Here is a 22,586-nt window from a genome sequence, read left to right as displayed (position 1 = left end):
AGAAAAAAAAGTGCATTGCATTTCTGTAGACTAGCAACAAACAAACAGAAAAATGTAATTAAAAAGAGGACAATACAATTGGCCGGGGCCAGTGGCTCATGCCTTTATCCCCAGCACTTTGGGAGGCCAAGGGGAGAGGATCACTTGAAGGCAGGAGTTCAAGACCAGCCTGGGCAACAGAGTGAGACCCCATCTCTATAAAAATTTTAAAAAATTAGCTGGACATGGTGGTGCACACTTGCAGCCCCACCTACTTGGGAGGCTGAGGTGGGAGGATCACTTGAGCCCAGGAGGTGGAGGCTGCAGTGAGCCGTGATTGCTCCAATGCACTCTAGCCTGGGTGACAGAGTGAGACCCTGCCTCAAAACCAAAACAAAACAAAAAGAGGACAATGAATTTTAGAATAGAATCAAAAAACATCACATTCCTGAGGAAAATCTAATAAACTATATCTAAGACACCTACAGCAAAACTTTACAACGTTAAAGTAACTTCAGGTGGATCAAATGTGAAACAAAACTTAAAACTCTTCGTAGAAAATATCAGTGACTATCGGCTCAACCTTGAAATGGGAAAGGTTTCTTGTGAAGGTTAGACCCTAACAGTAGAAGAAGCATTAAAACATTTGATTATATTAAAATCGAGCAACTACTTTTCAGCAGAGGACACCGTCGGCCAGCTTTTCTCTGAGTGTGGCTCAAGAGGTTAAACTCTTCCTGTAATGATGCCGAGACGGCATTTGCCTTGGTCATCCCATTCCCTCATGAGCGGACAGTGGAGTTAGGGTTAGGGCTGGGGTTGGGCTTGGGGTTGGGGCTGGGGCCACGTGATGTGATATCACAGCCGACTGAATGCAGAAGCTGCCATGAAAATCCAGGCGTTTTCCACAACCCAGACGTGAAAGATTTACAAATATGCAACCCAATGCCACTCTTCTCACTAATTTTGGAAAGAAAAATATTCTTCATAAAAATGTTATGTATGTTAACATGCAATGGGTATTGTGATTTTTAAATGAATTAATAGATAACTTAAAATGTCTTGGTTTTAATTTATATCATCATAAACATGAAGAGACAGAACGCACATAAGCAAACGCTCTTAGGGGCAGACAATACTTTTTAGGGTTATAAAGCTTCACTGGAGAGGCACTCCTCACCCACATCCCCTATGACGCAGGAAGGAGATGCAGCGCGGTGCTGTCCTGTGTGTGAGACCCCAGGCCCCTGCCACGCCTGTGTCCTGCAGGAGCCAGACCCCAGGCCAGACCCCAGACCCCAGGCCAGACCCCAGATCCCAGGCCCCTGCCACGTCCACGTCCTGCAGGAGCCAGCGATCCTCACACCGTGTTCTCGGGCCTGCAGTTGGGGGAGTTCCAGGAACAGATGTACGTCCACCTGCCCCACGAGCCACACTTCCTCCTGGGCATGCACCCTAGAGAAACCTCGCCAAGATGTGTTCTTGGTGTACACACCAGGAAACACCTGCGCACCCCTCAGTCCCCTCACAAGCGGGGATTTAAATGTAGCGTTTCACCCGACGGGATAACACACAGCAGGTGCCACATTATGGCCACACAGTGCTCTGCAGATGAAGTTTAACAAGAAATACATAAAAGGAAGTCCTGGAAGATCACAGATGGCCTCAAGTCTTTTCAGAAAGTTAAAAATGGCCCCGAGGAAACAACAGGACTTGGAGGAACGTGCAACGCGGGATAAAAATGAAGGAATGCGAGTCCCACGGGGGAACCACGGAGTAGGGGGACCGGGCACGGCCTGGGCTGAGGTCATGTCCAGGTCTGAGCTGGATTATGACATGACTAGGAACGCAAGCACAAAACTAAAACTCCCTCATGTGCACCAGGGATCACAGCCACCAGGCCACGTGCCACGTCACAGCCACCAGGCCATGCGCTGCGTTCACAGCCACAGGCCACAGCCACATCCCAGCCACCAGGCCACACACCATGTCCCGGCCACCAGGCCACGTGCCGCGTCACGGCCACCAGGCCACTGCTGCAGGGAGTTGGGTTCTGGACGCTGGGGTGCACTAAAATGTAGGACCCCCGCAGCAGAGGCCTCCTGGGGCACCCTGCCCACCTCCCAGGGTGAAGGGCTCCAGCCTCACTTGTTTCAGAGTGAAAGTAAGCAGGGTGCGGGAAGCCATCCCAAAACTCTTCTTTCCTTGTTTTTGAGGCAAGGTCTTGCTCTGTCAGCCAGGCTGGAGTGCAGTGGTGCCATCTCCGCTCACTGCAGCCTCGACCTCTTGGGTTCAAGAGATCCTCCTGCCTCAGACTCCCGAGTAGCTGGGACCACAGGCGTGCACCACTGCATCCGGCTAACTTTTGTATTTTTAGTAGAGACGGGGTTCGCCATGTTGGCCAGGCTGGTCTTGAACTCCTGGGCTCAAGCGATCTGCCCGCCTCAGCCTCCCAGAGCGCTGGGATTACAGGAGTGAGCCACCATGCCCAGCCCCCAAACTCTTCTTTCAAGGTCAAATTTTAAGGTCATGACATAGCTGATGGGCTTTTATTGGGAAGATCTTTGAGTTCCTAGTTACTTATTTGTTAAGGATTGCTTTACTTTCTCTGCCCATGGGCTTCGTGACAGTAGGAACCACCAATGGGCCACTCCCTGCCCGGGGACAGAGCCCAGCCTGATGGACTGATCGACTCTGAAGGCCCCGGGGTGATTCCGCCCCTCTCCAGCCGGCCACACAGGTGCTGACCTCAAGGCGCTGGGCTGCCGTTGCCCGACTCCTCCCACGCAAAGGGTCCCCAAGGGGCTGCACTGGAGTCTGCTCTGGGAGCAGCAGCATCTATGACTCTGCCGGTGAGGCCCCCAGGGTGGCCCATGCCCACGCCCATACCCAGGAGCTGTGCCTGGAGGCCTTGTGTCTGGAGAGGCTGTGAGTGGCCCGGCTGCTAACTCCCTCAGAGGAGCTGTGATTCCCTGCCGATCATCACTGGTCATTTTGGTCACTTTTAACATGTTAAGTGTAGTAAATTCGCATTCCAGAAAACCTGCTATAAAATGGTAATGATGACAAACGTAGCCAAAGCCTCTGCCCACAGTCTGAGCTGCCCACAGAGAACCCACAGTCCGAGCTGCCCACAGAACCCACAGTCCGAGCTGCCCACAGAGAACGCTGCAGGGGACGAAGCCGGGTGTGCCCCAGAGGCCGTCCCTATAGCCCAGTGAACCGGGCAGCAGCGGCTCCGCTCCCGGCCAGAGGCCACTTGCAGAGGTCGCCCCAAGGCAGGTGCATTTCTGAGTTAATGGCAGAGGCCACCATAGAGGTAAAAGGGGGGTGTGGCACATTACCCCCACCTGCACTTACCTCAAAGGTGTTCCCGGTCACGTCGAACTCGGGGGGAACGAAGGCACCCTCAGGGTCGTCTTGGGGAGGAGAGAGAGAAGGAGAGAAGGCTTCTGGTCACACCTGCAAACCTGAACCCGCCAGCTGAGAAGGGCCTGGAGAGGGAGCGGCCCCAGGTTCCCTCCCCGCAGACCTGGTGTCCCCAGACCATTTTAGGCCATGAAAAAGGGAAATCAGCTCCTTAACGGTTATGATGGGAAATGGGTTCCAAAGTGGAAGAGGGAAGGGTTCTACCACTTTCCCAAGAAGGAAGCTGAAGACATTCACCAGGGAAAATCAGCTCCCGGGCAGGGGCCACGCAGTGGGAGCAGCTGACCCACGGAGGCAGGGGCGTCCCACCCTCCCGGGCCTGCGTCCACTCACAGCAGGGCAGGCGGGACTGGCTCAGGGGAGACAGAAGAGGGGCATAGCCTGCCCTTAGGGGAAGTCCTGAGCGGAGGGGGCTCAGGGCGGGCCGAGTGTCCCTCTGGTGTCTGAGGGTAGGCGTGACTGCCGTGGCACAGCAGGCACCCCCACGGACCCTCGGCCACTCTCCAGCCTGAGTCCCTCCCAAGGAAGAGAAGGTCTCCACAGGAAACCCGGGTCCGGGCATGCTCCCAGCATCTGCTCCGGCAGAGCCAGTGCTCACATCCCCCCTGAAAGGCACCTCCACCCCGCGTGCCCGCCGCCGCCGCCACCGCCACCGCCGCCTCACCGCTGAGCTGCTCCATGAAACACACGTTCCCGCTGGTGTTGAAGGCCAGGGTGTCGGGCGTGATGCACAGGCTCTGGAAGATGGCGGCGTGGGCCACGCTCCGCATGGACAGGCTGCACTCCAGGCACACGGCCCAGGCTTCCTGCTCGCTGAGGCCGCGGTCCCGCAGGGAGAGGATGTCAGCCAGAGACACGTTCTCCTGCCAAGACCGGCCCTGGCCGTGAGCCCGGCAGGACCCCCAGCCAGGCCCCGGCACCCCCACCGAGACGATTCCCTGGGGAAACGGACGACTCGTGGCAGCGTTTCAACGCGTGGGTCAGGGAAAGGGCTTTAGACCACGTCTCATTTTGTTTCAAGAGTCGTCCTGCTGTTCCCTGGACGTCAGAGCCACGGAACATTTGGTGGCACCGTCGGCGTGCTGCCCAGAGCAGGTGTCGGCTCCTGGAGCCTGGGCACGGGGCCTTCCTCCCGGAGGCTCGGCCAGAGCTGCTGGGTCACCTGCTCCGTGGAGCACCCCGACCCCGCAGGCTCACGGCTGGACTGGCCTGTGGAGGCTGCCAACAGATGAGCGAGGCGACGGAGTGGACATCCCCAACTGTGGACTCGTGCAGAGCTAACGGGGCGTGATCCTGACACTCACATGACTTACAACCACACGCGCTGCCAACATTTGTTCCAGGCAATTCACACGGAGGACACAGTCACGGCGGTTCCCTCCATGTGGCTCGGCCGCCCCCATGTGGGCTCACCTCCAAATCCGAGTGGGCTCCTGGACTCCGCGAGGGCTCAGCTGTGATCACGATGGTTGCCACCAACACCCACACCCCCCCCATGCACATGCACAAACATACCCACCTAGCACACGTGCTCACCCTCACACAGACACACGCATCCCCATACATGCATCCCACATGGACACACGCCAACACAGGGCACGCTCACACAGTAACACTCGGACGCTGGTGCAAGGTGTGTGCACACTCACAGTTCCATCCGCTTCACACACACACACTCATGCAATGAGAACAGACATCCTCATACACACACACACCTCACACTCACACACATACTACATGCCACCGCACACATGCCTAACACTGACCATATGCACGCACAGACATGCACACCCGCACACACCCATTCCCACACTTGGTGCACACACCCTCACAGGAACACACAAGGCTGCACAATCCACACTCGCACGCACCCGAGTATGGAGCTGAAGGCCCTCTTGGGTGTGCTGCTCCCCGGCCGGGGCACCCCATGTGCAGGTAGGAGGGGGTGGCCGGGGGCTGCAGCCTGGACACTATGGGTGGGGCCCGTGAGGAGGAGGCAGAGGCCCCTTCTCCCCCATCGCTGGCCCCCCCTCCCCCAGTGCACAGGGCGGCTCTGGCTGTACTGGAGCCACTGGGCTGATGTCCTGAGAGGCACCTCCTGCCTCCGGTCCCCCTACCCTGCCCCAGCGGCTGGCACTGCAAGAGGCCCCCCAGGCACAGGAAAGGGATGAAGGGCTCAAACCAAAGCAGGAGGCCAACAAACGACGGGATCAGGGCATGGGCGCCCGGTGGGGCCTGGCCATGGGGCTGGCTCTGCGTCTGTTCGTGGGGTCCTGGCACATCCCGTCCATCTCCTTCTTGCGGTCCAGGGAGGGGCTTGATGACATCATTTCCCAGGCCCTTCCAGCTCTTTCTATGGCGGGAATCTCCCTGCCCCATTCCTGTGGCCCGTGATCGATCAAAGGTGTTTGATTTGGGCTCAAGCCTGCCGCCCTCTTAGCACCGCCCAGGACTCCTCAGGACTCCAGAGAGCCCGAAGCTCCCAGCGACGCCTGTGAGGCTGGTTAAAGAGGTACCTGGGCACTGCGTACACACAAACACATGCACACACCCATGCACCTGCACACGCAGGCGCACACATATGTACACACTCCCGTGCACTGGCACACACATGCACACAGCGCAACATGCCCACGCACACGTGCCTGCAAACACGGGCACAGACGTGCACCAAGCGGTAAGTCAGTCTGAGGACCCCGTAGGTTGTGCTGCTTAGGAGGAAGGGAGTCAGCATGAGGCGCGTCTCAGCCGGTCCCCGTCCCCCTGCGGGGCCCTGGGGTGCCTCTGGCTGTCACTCACAGGTCAGGCGCCTGCCGCCAGCCCACAGAATGGTGTCGAGACACGTGGACCCGGGAAGGGAGCCCAGGTCAGCCGTGCCAGCAGGGCCACCACTCGCACACAGCACGCCCTCCTGCTCAGACCTGGAGGGGAGATGCCTGGTGATGGGCAGCCCCCTCCTCCCCTCAGGGAAGCCGGACACCTGGAGCCCCAGCACCCATGAGAGGTGGGCGTGTCTGAATTCCGTCGGAGATTCTCTGGATGACTTTAGCGGTGAATTCCATGGGGTCTGTGGCTGAAGCCTCCCCTCAGGGATAGGATGGTCTCAGCCTCTCTGGGGCTTTCCAGAGGGTGGGCTTCCGCTCACACAGGGTCCTGAGCCCGGCCACCCAGGGGGTCTTGTCATGTGCTGAGGGCTCCCAGGCCTGAACTCTGGGCCCCGGGTCACCTGCCCTCTGGGACCTGCAGCCTCCACCCTGCTCTGGCACAGGTGAGAGGAATTAGCCCTCCTTGCCCGAATCCACACTGGCTGGGTGAGCAAGGGGGGGTCAGACAGGCCTAAGAGGCCAGGACAGGACGAGAGGACTGGGAGAGACACAGGCAGCACTCAGCAGCCTGGGGATCCCACGTCCTTGGGCTCCCCCCGCCACATCCCAGCAGACAACCCCACGACCACCCTCAAGGTCGGGAGCTATCTGGGCGTCCTGTAGTCCTGAGCTGTGGGCGTCCTGTAGTCACCTCCAGAAGGGGCCCTTGGAGACCCCGGGGCTCTCAGCCTTGCTACCAGGTAGGTTCAAGTCCACAGCTGGGCCAGGAAGCTTCGTGCTCAAGTAAAATACGCCCAGCCGGGCTGCGGGGCTGCCGAGGTGGCCTCGACAGGAGTTTAATGGGCTGTGGCAGACACTTGGGAAGGAGGTGACGTGCTGTGAATAGCAACGCCGGCCTCAGCTGGCCGACGCCTGTCTGTCTGCCCAGCGCCGCCTCCTGCGCACCTGTCTGCCCAGCACCCACGAGGGCCCCACGGCAGGCTGGGGCCTCGTGACTTTCCACACTTCAGCCTCTCCTGCCCCTGCCAATACAGTCTGACCTTGTTGTGGCTGGCCAGCTTTCAGTGACTCCGTCTGCCGGCACAGACCCAGCCTCTTGAGCAGGCCCAGAGGGTTCTTCATGACCTAGTCCAGCCCACCGACCACCCACCCTGCCCCTTACCATCCCTAGCAGGGCGTGCCTGGGTGAGCCATGGGGTAGGTCTGAGAGCAGGGACCACCTAAGACCTGTTCCTTGCAGGACAGGAAAGACTGGTCCCCACTTTGCAATTGTGTGGCCACGAACTCCACCCCCAACCCAGGTGGGAGGAGGGATTCGGGAAGGCAGGTGGACATGAACTCCACCCCCATCCCAGGTGGGAGGAGGGATTTGGGAAGGCAGGTGGACATGAACTCCACCCCCATCCCACGTGGGAGGAGGGATTTGGGAAGGCAGGTGGCCACGAACTCCACCCCCATCCCAGGTGGGAGGAGGGATTTGGGAAGGCAGGTGGCCACGAACTCCACCCCCATCCCAGGTGGGAGGAGGGATTTGGGAAGGCAGGTGGACATGAACCCCCGGGACTGGGCTGCTCTCCAGGGCAGCAGCACATCAGCCAGTCCCTGGGTCTCAGAGGGCAGGGCACGCTTCCCACCGAGGACCCTTATCTCATGGCAGGTCCCCATTAGGGGCCCTGTGCATTCAGAAAGCTCCCACACCCCCCGCCACACTGCCAGGCAGACTTCGAGCCAGGGTTACACAGGGACGCCTAGATCGTGTGGCGCATTTGAAATACACTGTCTTATGACCAACTGATTTTTTTCAGCCGTGGGATTCTAACAGGACTAATACAAAACTCCAATCACAGCTGGGAGCACTGGCTGCCAATCCCCAGGCCTCCTGACAGCTCTCTTCACACTGCCAGGCCCCCACCACAAAACCACCTCTGCTCCCGAGGTGCCTTCTGCTCTGAGCTCATCCTGGCACAGATGTCATATGGACCCTGCAGCGGGGACGTCCTCTTCTTTACTGGGAGCCCCCAGCTGTGTGCCCCTCCAGGGAGCAACTGCATCCTGTCCAGCCTCAGATTCTGAGCCCAGCCTGACACCGGCACACAGGAGGTTCTGGGAGGCAGTTGCTGAACTCTGGGAGGGATGATAGTGCTGCCTGCCTCTCAGGGACCCGGGACACGTCCTGCTCTGGCACCCAAACCGGTGCACCCTCTTCGTCTCATCTGAATTCCCATGGGGCAGCCAGCATTGCCCATCCATCGACTCCAGCCGCCTGGACTGTGTGCCTCTTCTGCAGCCGCTGTTCTGCCTGGATTGCACTGTTCTGCCTCAGATCCCATACCCCCATCCACAGTGACTGAAATCTCATGGGAATCCCGGGCAGGACACCTCCAGGAAGCCCTCCTTGCATCACCCCCACAGAACATCTCCCTGTCTATCGTGTACTGGTGGTTCTTTGCCTGTACTGGGATCCAACCTGGTCACTTCCTCCAGGACCTGCTGGCCCACTTGCTGATGCTCTGGTAGGTTCCAGCTGAGAGTGTTCTCACACACGCACGGCCACGTGTCTCTGGGGCCCACACCATAGTGAAGTTGCTGGGACACAGGGCACTGGTGCCTTCTACTTCACCAGCGAATGCTGGGCTGTTTTCCAAAGAGGCTGCTCCATTTGTCCTCCCACTGGCGCGAGGGAGAGCTGCTGCGCCGTCCTTGCCAGCACAAGCCGCTGTCCGCTCTTCAGTTCTTGCCAGCCTGGCGGTCTTGGGAAGGCATTCGTGGGGGTGTATTTTGCATTTTCCTGATTGCAATGAGCAAACATCTTTTCACATGTTCAGCAGCCATTTGGATTTTCTTTGGGACCATGTCAAGGGAGGGACATTCCAGGGGCTCCGGTGGGTGTCCATAGGGGTCTATTTCTTGACCCCATCATGGAGCCAGCCATTATAATTAGCTGTAGAATGAGTGAGTTCCTACATCTTATGAAGCCTGCATATGTCCTGGGCCTGGCGCCACCGTGCTTTCCCGGCAGCTGCCCTGCACCCTTGGCCTTCCGGCATTCTGGGATGATGATGCAACCTCACCGTGCCCTCACCTCACCCAGGACGGTTTTCCCATGCAAGTCAGGTGCCCCGATGGAGATTTCAGAACCTTCCAAGCCAAACACGTGTGGGAAGCAGAGTCTGAACGCCAGGGGAATTCTGAGACATGGGGTGTGTTGGGCTCAGTACTGGGCACAGGGTTGGGCCAGGGACCACCCGATGCTTTCCAGGAGTGTCTGCGAAGGGCCCACCTGAACGTTCCCACTGCACGCTGCAAACTCGGTGGGATGACAGTTCACCTGGAGGCCTTGGTGGACGTCACAGGATGGAGCCACCCACCCCAGTACTGTGCCGGCCGGGAGCTGTCCGGCCGGCCCGAGGACACTGGTGTGTGCGTGGGGGTGGGGAGCGGGAGTGGGGAGTGTGCAGAAAGACAGCCTGTGGCTCCAAGTGGGCTCGCGCCTGGCGCGGCGTGTTGTGTGCGTGGCACCGGCTGCTGCCTCCGTGTGCGGAGCGGGGAGGCCCTCAAGGCTCAGGCCTCTGATGCACGAAGGAGCTGTGGGAAGAGCTGCGTCCTCAGGGCCGCCTCCTAACAGATACCCTGGGATGTGTCCTGGGGCGTTTCTGAAGGCTGCGGGCTGCCCCTCCCTCTCGGTCAGAGCCGAGGTGATCTTGGAAGCTTTATTGCCTCCCCTGGCTGCTCCTCTCTGCAGCCTTCAACTGCACCGAATCCAGGCCATGGTGGGGGCGGGGGCATCGCCAACCCCCGCACAGCCTCAGCTGTTTCTAGGTGGCTGGGCCGAGGGCCTCCTGGGGCTGAACCTTCCCAGAAGGACGGTGCTTCCACAGCAGAAACTCCCGGTCCCTTCAGAGCCCACTCCCCTGGGGCAGCAGGTGGGGACTGCGAGGGGGTCAGGCCCGCGGCTGCTGCAGCCGGGATTCCCTGCTCCAGGCTTACTTGGCCGGCTTTAAAGAGAGGGCGCCACAACATCCCACTAATGGCTGCAGGTGACGACGCTGTCACCCGGAGACGCAGGCGCCCAGCGTCTGGGCTCTTGCCTGTTGGAGGTTTGGCAGATCTCGGATCCCTGGAGGGTGAGGGTCCCTCTGGGAGCTGCTGTATCCCCTGGGGGCCACCTCTCATGCTTCCGGGCCTGGCTTGTCCACTCCATCCCAGCCAAGCCAGAGCTGAGCTACAGGGTCAGACCCAGCCAAGGTGGCGTCTGGGCAGCCGGTGCTGTAGGGTGGGCGGTCCATGAGCAGAAGCGCCAGGGTATGCAGATGGCAGGCAGAGCCCCTCTGCACCTTGCGGGGTAGGGGGGTCTTGGGTGAAGGCCCGGAAAACCAGAGAGCAGGAAGCAGCTCTCAGTCTCGGGGGGCAGTCATCCAGCGCTCCCCCCACCCCCCGCTCCTGAACCTCAGCTCCGGGGACCTCATCCCCCAGCTCCTGAGCGGCGCCTGATTGGACTCTGCTGCTCTGCACCCCGCTGGCCTCCTGGGGCCCGGCAGGGAGTAAGCAGACCCCCCTCCGTCCTCCTTGCTGCCCCCACACTGTCCCGCCAGGGTTTCCACCAGGAGCTACCGCGCACCAACTTCTGCAGGGGCTGCCCACCCGCCGCCGTCCCGTGCGCATTCGGGGGTGCTGTCCCCTCCGGGTGAAAATCCTAACGCGGGGGCTGAGAACGGCGGTGGGAACCCCTCGGCCATGGAGGGCGCCTGGGGAGGCGGGAGCTCACAGCCCCTCCCGGGTCCTCCCCCCGGGCGCTCTCCGCGGACCCCTCGGCGGCGGAAGGGGCCCCCCAGTGGGGCCGGGGGCTCACCTCGTCCTCGGGGAGGGTGGGCAGCGGCTCGAAGTCGTAGAAGTCCAGGTCTTTGCCGTCCTCCTCGTAAAGATCCGCCGCGGCCGGGTCCATGGCCTGCATCCTGCGGCCGCGCCGCGCACCGCCCCCGGGGCCTCCGGCTGGGCTGGGCTGGGCTCGGCTACGCGCGCCCTGGCTCCATGGAGACGCGCCCGGCCCTCGCCCGCCCCCGCCCGCCCGCCGCTGCCGCAGTGTCTCCAGGGGACGCGGTCAGGGATACGGGGCGGGCCCGGGGGGCGCGGGGGGCGCGGGGTGCGCGGGGGCTGCGCGGCGCTGTCCGGACCCGGCGCCTAGGGAACGTCGCTCCTTCCTGGGGGAGGCACCGGGGGCGGAGCCAGGCGTGTGGCCTCCGCGGGGAGCCACGGGGTCTGCGCCCCACCTGGGCCCCAAGGGTCGAGGGGCGGAGCCGGCGCCCAGGAAAGCTCGGACGGGCAGACCCCCTCGCCGGCTCCCGCCGCCCCCGTCCCACCCCCGCTGCTGCCGGGCGGGGCTGCCGCAGTCCCGGGGTGGCCTCTGCAGCGGCGTTGGGCAGGGCCGGGCGGGGCCCGGGGTGGGGGGCGGGGCCCGGGGTGGGGGGCGGGGCGGTCGCTGGGCCGGGGTCTCTCCTGAGCGAGGGTCTTTCGGAGGCCCGGGGATGTTGGGGGTGGGGCAATAACGCTGCCTCATCCCCACCTGGAGGCATCGGAGAGACCCACTGGGCACCCGACCCTCCCCGGTCCTGGGGGACCCTGGGGGGTCCTGGGGCTCTTGACCTCTTCCTGCCCCAAAGGCCCCCCGGGGCTTTCTTCAGCGCCAGGGTGACCCCGGCCCACGGTAGTGCCGCGGTCAGAAGAGCCAGGATAGCCCCAAGCTCGGCCAAGAGGCAGGGAGGGTGGAGGAGAATCTCACCTTCCCCGGCCACCCCCAGAACTCCCACAGGAGAGAGGGCGGCTTCAGGGCCCGGCTGTCAGCTCCCCGTCCGTGTGGCTGGCCAGGCACACAGTAGGTACTTAATCCATGCTCCTGGCTTGAAGGAGCAGCAGGGCTTTTGACCGCAGAGTGGGAGGGTGCAGTGTGTTCAGGGACGTGAATTCCCAGCACTCTGTCCCCTGGTCGGTCACCCGGGCTGTCACTCTGGCCTGGCAGGGAGTTCAGGGGCTCAGCTCCCCGGGAGCCAGGTGGGCACTGAAGCCGGAGGCTGGGAGTGGGGCAGGTGCTGGGCAGACTCCCTGCGTCCAGCCAGGCAGCCCCACCTTATTGAAAATGCCCACCCTGGGGCCCACCCTGGTCCACCGAGTCAGCAGTCAGGTGCAGCCTCCCCCATCCTTGGGTGTTTGGAAGCTTGGGCAGCAAGCCAAGGTGGAGTGGGCTGGAGCTGGAGAGGAGGAGTCTCACAGAGGGTGGCCTCAGCCAGCTGTCCCTGAGCTCTCTCTCTGTGGGCCCCACAGGGCCTGCAGCGCCCCAGTCCCTGTCTTGGAAGGAGGCGGAAGTGGCAGGCAGACTCTGCTCCAGGAGCCTGATCCCGCTGCACCCTGGTGCTCAGACCTGGACATTGGAGCTGAGCCCCTGGGCTCCTGGGCCCTCTGCTGCAGGGCTGGGGCCGCCTCCTTTGTCAGGTCTGGATGTGCCCCTGACGCCTCTCAGCTGCCACCCAGACTTGTGCCTCCGGGGGAACGCCGGGCTGACGTGACCCCAAAGGGAAGGCACCAGGGACCCCACAAGCACAGGACTTTGTCACCGAGTGCCCAGGTCACCTCACGGGCTTGGGGTGAGGATATAGACACTGAATAGGGGGCAAAGGTAACCCCATAATTTGGGGGGCAGCCATAGGGCAAGCACTCCTGGAAAGACGTGCATGCGGTTGGTAAAATGCAGAACTCACAGGCTCCTGGAGTCGGCCGTGTCAGCTTCGGCTGTTGCGGCCTAAAACCCCTCAGCAGGCATTTCCCACACCTGGGTCACTCAGCGCTGCTGCTGCTCAGGGCTGGGCACGTGGGGAGGGGCCTCGGGCAGGGGCCGCAGGCTCTTTCTTTTACGCACCTGCTGCTTTCCTTTAAAGATTTGTGGGCTTTGGTCTCTGTTGTTCTGGGGAGTGGTGGGAACTTCCAGACGTTTTGCGAGTTGTCCCGGGCGCCCGCACACTCGCCTGCAGTGATAAAGCTTTGACCCAAGTGGAGGGTGCGATGTCGGTCCTGTGTCCTGGCACCTCAGTTATGCTGGACGAGGGCGCAGTTCCTCCAGGGTCTGGATTCATCGCCCCACGTCTTCTAGAGCTGGTGAGCAGCTTCTGGGTGCCACGCGGAAACGGCCAAGAGCCCTCCGTGAGCCACAAGGAACGGCCTCCTCATCAAGCCCTCCTGCCTCTCGGTGCCAGCCCTGTGTGCCCAGCATGTGCTGGCACAGCTTCCTCCCGAGGATGCTTGTGGTGGTGTCGGAATTCTGAGGGGCTTCCCAGCTGCACGATCAGGTCCGTGGTCCAGGGCCATGACTTGGTGGCACTTTCGTCCTCTTCCAACTCTTCCATGGCCTCTACCCATCCTCTGCCCCACCCCACTGCCCTTTCCCACCAGACGTTCCCCTCTGCTAGAGGCAACAGCCTGAACTGTGGCTCCTGGCTGGAGTGAGGAACCTGGTTCCTCCCTCCCTGCCCAGGCCCTGCCCACCCTCCCTCCTCCATGAGGGGCCCAGGGTAGGACTCCCAGATGCTTCTCCTGAGACCTTGCTCCGAGGGGGTTACCGGGCCCTTGTCACACCCGGACGCTGTCAGGATCGGCCTTGTCCTTCTCACTCGGTCTCCCACAGTCGGCGCTCAGCTGGACTGGGCTGCGTGCTGAGGCGGGTGGAGCAGGGGTCTTCAGGGCCTTGGCTCTCGTTTTCCCTAAAACAATTTTGAAAAGCTGCCAAATCACTCACACATGTTGACGTCAACATCCAGGTTTCTTAAAAAATCCAGACATGTAAATGATGGCAAATAATGTCATTTCTGGTGTGATGTAAATACTCACATTTTGAAGTAAAATTGTTAGTCACTCCTGTAAATGTATCTAGGAAGCTAAATGCCAAAATGGTTTTGATACCTACTGTCAGTCGTTTAAAGAATTCGTAAACACATTCTTCTCTAACAGTCCGAGATCTTCGTGCTGACATTTTTCCTCAGACGCATCATAGCCATCTGGTTTTTGCCCAGATTGTATCTGACGATGAATTATTTTTATGCCCGAGTTTCTGTTGGCTCCTCATCACACTTTGCAACAAATACACATGTAAATTTTAATAAATCAGATATTTAGTAAAGAAAAAAAGGAAATGTGGAAGTAAATGGCGGTGCTCCTGTTAGAGATTGGGAGCCGGCACGCGGGAACCGTGGACCACGACTGGCTTCTGCGGGGAGCTGCCCTGTGGCTCTGGCGGAAACACGGTCTCCTCACTTTGTCTCTGGGCGCTGGGCTGGCCCTGTCCTGCCAGGCTCACCCCACGGGGGAACCAATGCGGCTGGGAGCAGACGGAACCCCCGTCCCTCTGTGCGTGTGTGTATTTGTGTGTATATGTGTGCGTATGTGTGGGTATTTCTGTGTCTGTATGTGTATGTGTATTTGTGTGGATGTGTGTGTATATTTGTGTGTGTATGTGTGTATGTGTATTTGTGTGTGTATTTGTGTATGTGTGTGTATTTCTGTGTCTGTGTGTATGTGTATGTGTATTTGTGTGTATGTGTGTGTATTTGTGTGTATGTGTGTGTATTTGTGTATTTGTGTGTATTTGTGTATGTGTGTGTATTTGTGTGTGTATTCGTGTGTGTGTATTTGTGTATGTGTGTGTATTTGTGTCTATGTGTGTGTATTTGTGTGTGTGTTTATTTGTGTGTGTGTATGTGTGTGTGTATTTGTGTGTGTGTGCGTGCATTTTTCCTCAGTGTCTCTGAGATTCAACCATGTTGTTATGGGTAGTAGTAATTTATTGATTATTGTTACTGAATTGTATTAAATTACATCAATACCCCACAGTGGAGGTTCTCTTTCCAACGACGTCAATACCCCACAGTGGAGATTCTCTTTCCAACGACGTCAATACGCCACAGTGGAGGTTCTCTTTCCAATGACGTCAATACCCCACAGTGGAGGTTCTCTTTCCAATGACGTCAATACCCCACAGTGGAGGTTCTCTTTCCAACGACATCAATACCCCACAGTTGAGGTTCTCTTTCCAATTACGTCAATACCCCACAGTGGAGGTTCTCTTTCCAACGACATCAATACCCCACAGTTGAGGTTCTCTTTCCAACGACGTCAATACCCCACAGTTGAGGTTCTCTTTCCAACGACGTCAATACCCCACAGTTGAGGTTCTCTTTCCAATGATGGCAATACTCCACAGTTGAGGTTCTCTTTCCAATGACATCAATACTCCACAGTTGAGGCTCTCTTTCCAATGACGTCAATACCCCACAATTGAGGTTCTCTTTCCAACGACGTCAATACCCCACAGTGGAGGTTCTCTTTCCAACGACGTCAATACCCCACAGTGGAGGTTCTCTTTCCAACGACGTCAATACCCCACAGTGGAGGTTCTCTTTCCAACGACGTCAATACCCCACAGTGGAGGTTCTCTTTCCAACGACGTCAATACCCCACAGTGGAGGTTCTCTTTCCAACGACGTCAATACCCCACAGTGGAGGTTCTCTTTCCAACGACGTCAATACCCCACAGTGGAGGTTCTCTTTCCAACGACGTCAATACCCCACAGTGGAGGTTCTCTTTCCAACGACGTCAATACCCCACAGTGGAGGTTCTCTTTCCAACGACGTCAATACCCCACAGTGGAGGTTCTCTTTCCAACGACGTCAATACCCCACAGTGGAGGTTCTCTTTCCAACGACGTCAATACCCCACAGTTGAGGTTCTCTTTCAAATGACGTCAATACCCCACAGTTGAGGTTCTCTTTCCAATGACGTCAATACTCCACAGTTGAGGCTCTCTTTCCAATGACGTCAATACCCCACAGTTGAGGTTCTCTTTCCAACGACGTCAATACCCCACAGTGGAGGTTCTCTTTCTGCGCTGGTGGGCACTCAGGTGGCTTCTACAATTTGCAGCCTTAGGAACGAAGCTACGGGGGCATCTTTTCTTCAGGTGCCTGTGTTTCTGTTTGGCCTATCTTTAGAGTGGAGTTGCCGGGTCTTAGGTTATGCATGTATGAAGTTCCTGTTTTCCCCGCACTGGCGATGGCCGGGCACGGGGGCGGGTGTTGGGAAGGTGCCCTTCACCCTCCGTTTTGCCAGCCTGGCTTCTGCTGGGTCGAATGTGCCCGGGTGTGAGTCTGTTTCTAGACTCTATCCTTTCCCATCGGTCTGTCAGTTCTGCAACAGCCACAGAAGTCTCCACACAGAACCCACCCTTGCCTCTTCCCCCACCTCCTTCTTCTTCAAGAAAGTCCTGGCTGCCCGCGGTCCTCTGCATTTTCAGACCCACCTGGAAGCAGCGTGTCATGTGCCCCGCAGCATGGCTGGGGTTGCGCTCACCCTGCACAGCTTCCTCACCCGTGAACATGCATCTCCTTCCACATGTTCCGATTACCATCCTGTTCTCCCAACGATATTTTGTAGTTTTCTGTGAAAAGGCCTTATGCATCTTTTATTATGTTTAGCATGAATATCTGATATTTTGTGGTGCTACTGTAGATTCTGTCTTTGCAAAGCACTTATTTTCTGTTTAGTGCTGGCCTATAAAGTTGGTTTTTGTATAATGACCTTGTATCTGGCAACTTTGCTAAACCTGCTTATTAATTCTGATCTTCGTGTTGCTTTGGATTTTCTATGTAAGCAACCATATCATCTGAGAATAATGTCAGACTGACTTCTTCATTACTAATCCTTCTCATGTTTCTTTCTTCCTCCTCCTCACTGTCCCTGCCAGGGCCTCCTGAACAACAGGGAATAGCAGGGGTGGCGATCGTCCACTCTGCTGAGTTCCCAGTGGGAGAGAAGGCCAGCTTTCCATTTCACCATTAAGTGTAATTTTGCTTCAGGTTTTTGTAACTCCCTTTAGCAGACTAATTAAGTCTCCTTCTTTTGCTGATTTGCCAAGTGTTCTATTAAATCACAAACAGGCGCTGAATTTTATCAAGTGTGTTTTCTGCATCCACTAAGATGATTATGTGACTTTCTCTCATATTCTGAGGATGTGTTAGATTACACGGATAAATGGTTGATGTTGAACTAATTTTGCACTCCTTCCATCTGGTTGTGATATAGGGTCTTTACTCAGTATGCTGGATTTGGTGGACTAATATTTTGTGTAAGAACTTTTGCATTTATTTTCATCGGCCAGTGATGTGTCTTTCTTATAATGTCCCCGTTAGCTGTAAGTATCAAGGTTATGCTTCTTCCTGAAATAATTGGGATGTGTTCTTCTTTTTCTATTCTCTGAAAGAGTTTGAGTTCTAGTAAAACTACTGTTATTTTTTTTCCTTAAATGTCTGGTGGAATTCTCTGGTGAGGCCATCACTGGATCTAAAGGCATTTGTTTTTAAATACGAAGGTTTCAAATTATGAATTCAATTATTTAATACTTATACAACTATTAAGATGCTTTCAGGCCAGGCACAGTGGCTCACACCTATAATCTCAGCATTTTGGGAGGCTGAGGCAGGAGGATCATTTGAGACTAGGGGTTCAAGACCAGCCTGGCCAACATAGGGAGACCCCATCTCTAAAAATAAAGCTTTCACATTTCCTAGGAATTTCTGTCTTTTCCAAGTTATTGGCATCAACTTGCGTGTATTATCTATCTGCTCTTTACCTTTTAATGTCTGTAGGGTCTGAAGGAATAGCCCCCCAACTCCTGACATTTGTTACTTGTGCCTTCTTTCTTTTTTCTGGATTGGATTTGCCAGGACTATATTGATTTTATGAACCCTTTTAAAGGATATATATTTTTTATTTTGTTAATTTCTGTTCTTATTTTTTCTTTCTTTCTTTTTTCTTTTTTTTTTTTTGCAGACTGAGTCTCGCTCTGTTGCCCAGGCTGGAGTACAGTGGCACAATCTAAGCTCACTGCAACCTCTGTCTCCCAGGTTCAAGTGAGTCTCCTGCCTCAGCCTCCTGTGTAGCTGGGACTACAGGTGCACGCCACCACGCCTGGTTAATTTTTTTGTATTTTTAGTAGAGACAGGGTTTTACTGTGTTGCCCAGGCTGGTTTTGAACTCCTGAGCTCAGGCTATCTGCCTGCCTCGGCCTCCCAAAGTGCTAGGATTACAGATGTGAGCCACCGCGCCTGGCCACTGTTCTTATCTTTATGATTTCATTCCTCTAGTTTTGGTTAGTTTGTTATTATTTTTCTAAATTCTTGAGATGATTGTATAACTCACTGATTTTCACCCTTTTCTTATCTTTTCTTTCCTTTTTTTTTGAGACAAAGACTCACTCACTGTGTCACTTAGGCTGGAGTGCAGTGGCGTATCTTGGCTCACTGCAGCCTCTGCCTCCTGAGTTCAAGTGATCCTTCCACCTCAGCCTCTCGAGTAGCTAGGGTTACAGGCATGTGCCACCATGCCTGGCTAATTTTTGTATTTTTAGTAGAAACCAGGTTTTGCCATATTGCCCAGGCTGGTCTTGAACTCCTGACCCCAGGTGATCCGCCTGCCTCAGCCTCCCAAAGTGCTGAGATGACAGGTGTGAGCCACCGCGCCTGGCCTAAATCTACCATTTGTTAAGTGTTTTCTGTTTTCCCCTTGTTCTCTGCTCCCTTTTCTTTCTGACTTATTTTGTATTGGTTATTAATGTATTGTTTCATTTCTATTCTATATTAGTTGGAAGTTTGTAGACCTGCTGGAATCCATGGCTTGTGTTTTTAAGCAGTTTGGGAAAGTTTTCACCATTCTGTCATTAGATGCTGTTGCAGTGTTCCCTCCTGTTCTCTCTCTCTTGGACCCCGGCTCATCCCGGCATTCGTGGACTCCAGGGACGCACGTGTGCTAGATCCATCCAGCTCATTCCGGCATTCGTGGACTCCAGGGACACACGTGTGATAAATCTGCCCAGCTTGTCCCAGCATTGGTGGACTCCAGGCACACACATGTGATGGATCTGCACACACTACACTGTGTGTCTTTTGCCCTCTATTCTGTAGTTTATCTTTTAGTTTTATGCTCGATGTTTTCAGATGGTCCATCTTCCAGTTCACAAACTCTCTTTATGTCTAATCTACCATTAAACCCATTCATTGGATTCTTTCCATTATTTCTTTTTCAGGCCTTTTATTTATTTTAAAATTTTGATGGTTTCTGATTCTCTGCCAAAATTCTCAACCTTAGTTTCTATGTCTGTCAACTCTCAAACATCAAAAGGATCAGAATCCAGTTTAAAAGAGTATATTCAAGCACGAAGCTGAAAATAGCCATCCGGATAACACAGACTCCAAAGAAATGGGGTCAGTGCTCTGAAACTGAAAAGTTAAGGTCTCTGTTATATATGCAGAAAACAGAGAAATTTAAAAGGGTTACAGCATTTTTCATACAAGGCTGGCTTGTGAGTGATAGCAATTTGATTCGTTATACTCCGTTTGTTTTCTGTTTTCCATTTAAAAGAGCATATTTAGCATTCAGCCTTACACTGTGTGGTAGTCATGAGGTCTTGTGTCAGTCAGGGAAGAAAGGGGAGTTAATCTCTAATGAAGATCAGCAGGGAAGAGGGAGGGTCTTCCTGACGCCTTAACTTCTCTACATTTTACAAAACAATGTCGGTCAAGGAAAGGCTGATCTGCATTCAGGGAACAAAGGTTGCAGCTGCCTGTCCTCTGAGTCAGGTCCCGTCGTTGATTCCTTAAGGCTCAAAATTGTGCGAAGTTCCAGGGACTTTGGTTTTGAGTGACTGATTTCTGTGTGTTATTGAGCATGGTGGGCAAGCACAGGTCACCTTCACAAGCCTGTCTGAGAACTCCATGAGCTGCGGCCCCACGCGTCTCTCCTGTTGTCTGCTGTTTCTTACCTCCCTGAGCTGTGGCCCCACGCGTCTCCTGTTTCTTGCTGGCTTTTATGGGTGTGATCTTTTCTCTTTGAGTGCCTGATTATTTTAAATTGTGTGCTGGCTACTGTGTTTCGCAAAAGTATTCTTGGAAACTACTTGAGGCCTAGGGTTACTTTATCTTCCCCCAGAGAGAGTTTTAGTTTGCTCCTTTGGCACTATTTTTTTTTTTTAGATAGAGTCTTGCTCTGTTGCCCAGGCTGGAGTGCAGTGGTGCAATCTCAGCTCACTGCAACCTCTGCCTCCCAGGTTCAAGTGATTCTCCTGCTTCAGCCTCCCGGGTAGCTGGGATTACAGGTGTGTGCCACCACACCCAGCTAATGCCCCTTGCCCCCAGGAATTTGCCCCTCTTTTCTTTATTTGTGGTATTTTATGAAACACACTTGGTTTTATTGGGGTGTGTGGGATGGGGATCCATGACCCCAGGAAGATTCTGAGTGACGGGAGTGTCTTTTGTTATTCATGAGGAGCCCTGTGATAACTCCAGGGTTATGGCAATGAGGTGGACAAGTGGGGCCCCTGGGGAGGCCGCAGGATGGCGGTCCTCAGAGAGACCAGCAATGATAGGATCCAGGTGGGAACTTTCTGCTTCACCCACTGCCCTCCGGGAGAGGGATCTGGAGACCACACTCCAGACAACCCCAAGCAACAAGATCCGATGAGCTTCGGGGTTTGAGCCTGGGAGCTTCCAGGAGGGAGGCACGGCCGGAGAGGAGGCTCTGGGCCCTGAGGGCGCCTTGGCCGCCACCCTTCACTGGGCTGCATTGAACGTGGGAGGTGTTAGGTTTGGGGTAACATGTGAAGGTTTATTACACAGGTAGACACGTGCCATGGGGGTTGGTGGTACAGATTATTTCATCACCCAGGTACGGAGCCCCAGCGGTTACCTTTTCTGCTCCTCTCCCTCCTCTCACCCTCCCCACTCAAGGAGACCACAGTGTCAGTGATTCCCTTCTTTGTGTTCATAAGTTCTCATCATTTCGCTCCCACTTGTAAGTAAGAACGTGCGGTATTTGGTGTTTTGTTCCTGTGTTAGTTTGCTAAGAATAATAGCCCCCAGCTCCATCCATTTTCCCACAAAAGACACGATCTCCTTTTTCACGGCTGCATAGTATTCCATGGTACATATGTACCACATTTTCTTTATCCACTCTGCCATTGATGGGCATTTAGGTTGATTCCATGTCTTTGCTATTGTGAACAGTGCGGCGATGAACATTCACGTGCTTGTGTCTTCATGGTGGAATGATTTCTATTCCTCTGGATATATACCCAGTAATGGGATGGCTGGGTCAGATGATAGTTCTGCTTTTAGCTCTTTGAGGAATCTCCATCCTGCTTTCTGCAATGGTTGAACTAATTTACACTCCCACCAACAGTGTATAAGCCTTTCCTTTTCTCCCCAACTTCACCAGCATCTGTTATTTTCTGACGTTTTAATCACAGCCATTCTGACTAGTGTGAGATGGTATCTCACCGTGGTTTTTACTTGCGTTTCTCTAATGGTCAGTGGTATTGGGCTTTTTTTCATACACTTGTTGGCTGCATGTATGTCTTCTTTTGAGAAGTTTCTGTTCATGTCCTTTGTCTACTTTCTAATGGGGTTGATTGTTTTTCTCTCGTAAATTTGTTTAAGTTCTTGCAGATGCTGGACATTAGACCTTTGTCAGATGCAGGACATTAGACCTTTGTCAGATGCATAGTTTGCAAATATTGTCTCCCATTCTGTAGGTTGTCTGCTCACTCTGTTGATAGTCTCTTTTGCTGTGCAGAAGCTCTTCAGTTTAATTAGGTCCCACCTGTCAAGTTTTGCTTTTGTTGCGATTACTTTTGGTGTCTTTGTCATGAAATCTTTGCCCGTTCCTATGTCCAGGATGGTATTACCTAGGTTGTCTTCCAGGGTTTTTATAGTTTTGGGTTTTACATTTAGGTCTTTAATCCATCTTGAGTTGAATGTTTGTGTATGGTATAAGAAAGGGCTCCAGGTTCGGTCTTCTGCAAATGGCTAGCGGGCTATCCCAGCACCATTTATGGATGTGGAGTCTTTTTTCCGTTGTTTGTTTTTGTCAGCTTTGTTGAAGATCAGATGGTTGTAGGTGTGTGGTCTCATTTCTGAGATCTCTATTCTGTTCTGTTGGTCTATGTGCCTGTTTTTGTGCCAGTACCACGCTGTTTTGGTTACTGTAGATCTGCAGTATCATTTGAAGTTGGACAATGTGATGCTTCCAGCTTTGTTTTTTTTTTTTTTTTGCTTATGATTGCCTTGCCTATTTGGGCTCTTTTTTGGTTCCATATGAATTTTCAAATAGTTTTTTTTCTAGTTCTGTGAAGAATGTCATTGGTAGTTTGATACGAATAGCATTGAATCTAAGTTGCTCTGGGCAGTATGGACGTTTTGACAATATTGATTCTTCCTATCCACGAGCATGGGATGTTTTTCCATTTGTTTGTATCTTCTCTGATT

At 54.9% G+C, this 22,586-nt stretch overlaps 1 protein-coding gene across 7 annotated transcripts in view, besides 6 other annotated features; it reads right to left on the bottom strand.

Annotated features, from left to right (window-relative positions):
* Positions 1-11,433, bottom strand: part of KNDC1 (kinase non-catalytic C-lobe domain containing 1) — a 66,194-nt gene extending 54,761 nt beyond the window's left edge. For 6 of the 7 annotated variants that reach the window (NM_152643.8, XM_017016858.3, XM_017016859.3 and 3 more), the window contains exons 1-3: positions 11,083-11,433; positions 4,073-4,271; positions 3,340-3,398 (exon numbers count right to left, since the gene is read on the bottom strand). In NM_152643.8, the coding sequence (NP_689856.6) occupies positions 3,340-3,398; positions 4,073-4,271; positions 11,083-11,184 (360 nt within the window). In that variant the 5' untranslated portion in view covers positions 11,185-11,433. Of the gene's footprint in view, positions 1-1,031; positions 3,399-4,072; positions 4,272-11,082 lie in introns of those variants that run through there. The other variant, NM_001347864.2, reaches the window with a different exon arrangement.
* Positions 5,594-6,105: an enhancer, noted in NCBI's record as "H3K4me1 hESC enhancer chr10:134979051-134979562 (GRCh37/hg19 assembly coordinates)". NCBI's record gives its function as "activates a minimal SCP1, AML or CMV promoter by ChIP-STARR-seq in naive H9 embryonic stem cells {active_cell/tissue: H9 hESC(naive)}" and the evidence as "EXISTENCE:reporter gene assay evidence [ECO:0000049][PMID:30033119]".
* Positions 9,882-10,472: an enhancer, noted in NCBI's record as "H3K27ac-H3K4me1 hESC enhancer chr10:134974684-134975274 (GRCh37/hg19 assembly coordinates)". NCBI's record gives its function as "activates a minimal SCP1, AML or CMV promoter by ChIP-STARR-seq in primed H9 embryonic stem cells {active_cell/tissue: H9 hESC(primed)}" and the evidence as "EXISTENCE:reporter gene assay evidence [ECO:0000049][PMID:30033119]".
* Positions 10,473-11,062: an enhancer, noted in NCBI's record as "H3K27ac-H3K4me1 hESC enhancer chr10:134974094-134974683 (GRCh37/hg19 assembly coordinates)". NCBI's record gives its function as "activates a minimal SCP1, AML or CMV promoter by ChIP-STARR-seq in primed H9 embryonic stem cells {active_cell/tissue: H9 hESC(primed)}" and the evidence as "EXISTENCE:reporter gene assay evidence [ECO:0000049][PMID:30033119]".
* Positions 18,945-19,751: an enhancer, noted in NCBI's record as "OCT4-NANOG-H3K27ac-H3K4me1 hESC enhancer chr10:134965405-134966211 (GRCh37/hg19 assembly coordinates)". NCBI's record gives its function as "activates a minimal SCP1, AML or CMV promoter by ChIP-STARR-seq in naive H9 embryonic stem cells {active_cell/tissue: H9 hESC(naive)}" and the evidence as "EXISTENCE:reporter gene assay evidence [ECO:0000049][PMID:30033119]".
* Positions 19,752-20,557: an enhancer, noted in NCBI's record as "OCT4-NANOG-H3K27ac-H3K4me1 hESC enhancer chr10:134964599-134965404 (GRCh37/hg19 assembly coordinates)". NCBI's record gives its function as "activates a minimal SCP1, AML or CMV promoter by ChIP-STARR-seq in naive H9 embryonic stem cells {active_cell/tissue: H9 hESC(naive)}" and the evidence as "EXISTENCE:reporter gene assay evidence [ECO:0000049][PMID:30033119]".
* Positions 20,558-21,364: an enhancer, noted in NCBI's record as "H3K27ac-H3K4me1 hESC enhancer chr10:134963792-134964598 (GRCh37/hg19 assembly coordinates)". NCBI's record gives its function as "activates a minimal SCP1, AML or CMV promoter by ChIP-STARR-seq in primed H9 embryonic stem cells {active_cell/tissue: H9 hESC(primed)}" and the evidence as "EXISTENCE:reporter gene assay evidence [ECO:0000049][PMID:30033119]".

Source organism: Homo sapiens, chromosome 10 (genome assembly GCF_000001405.40).
Source record: "Homo sapiens chromosome 10, GRCh38.p14 Primary Assembly".
Classification (NCBI taxonomy): Eukaryota; Metazoa; Chordata; class Mammalia; order Primates; family Hominidae; genus Homo; species Homo sapiens.
The sequence above is the reverse complement of the archived record's forward strand: the minus strand, read 5'-3'. Positions and strand labels throughout refer to the sequence as shown.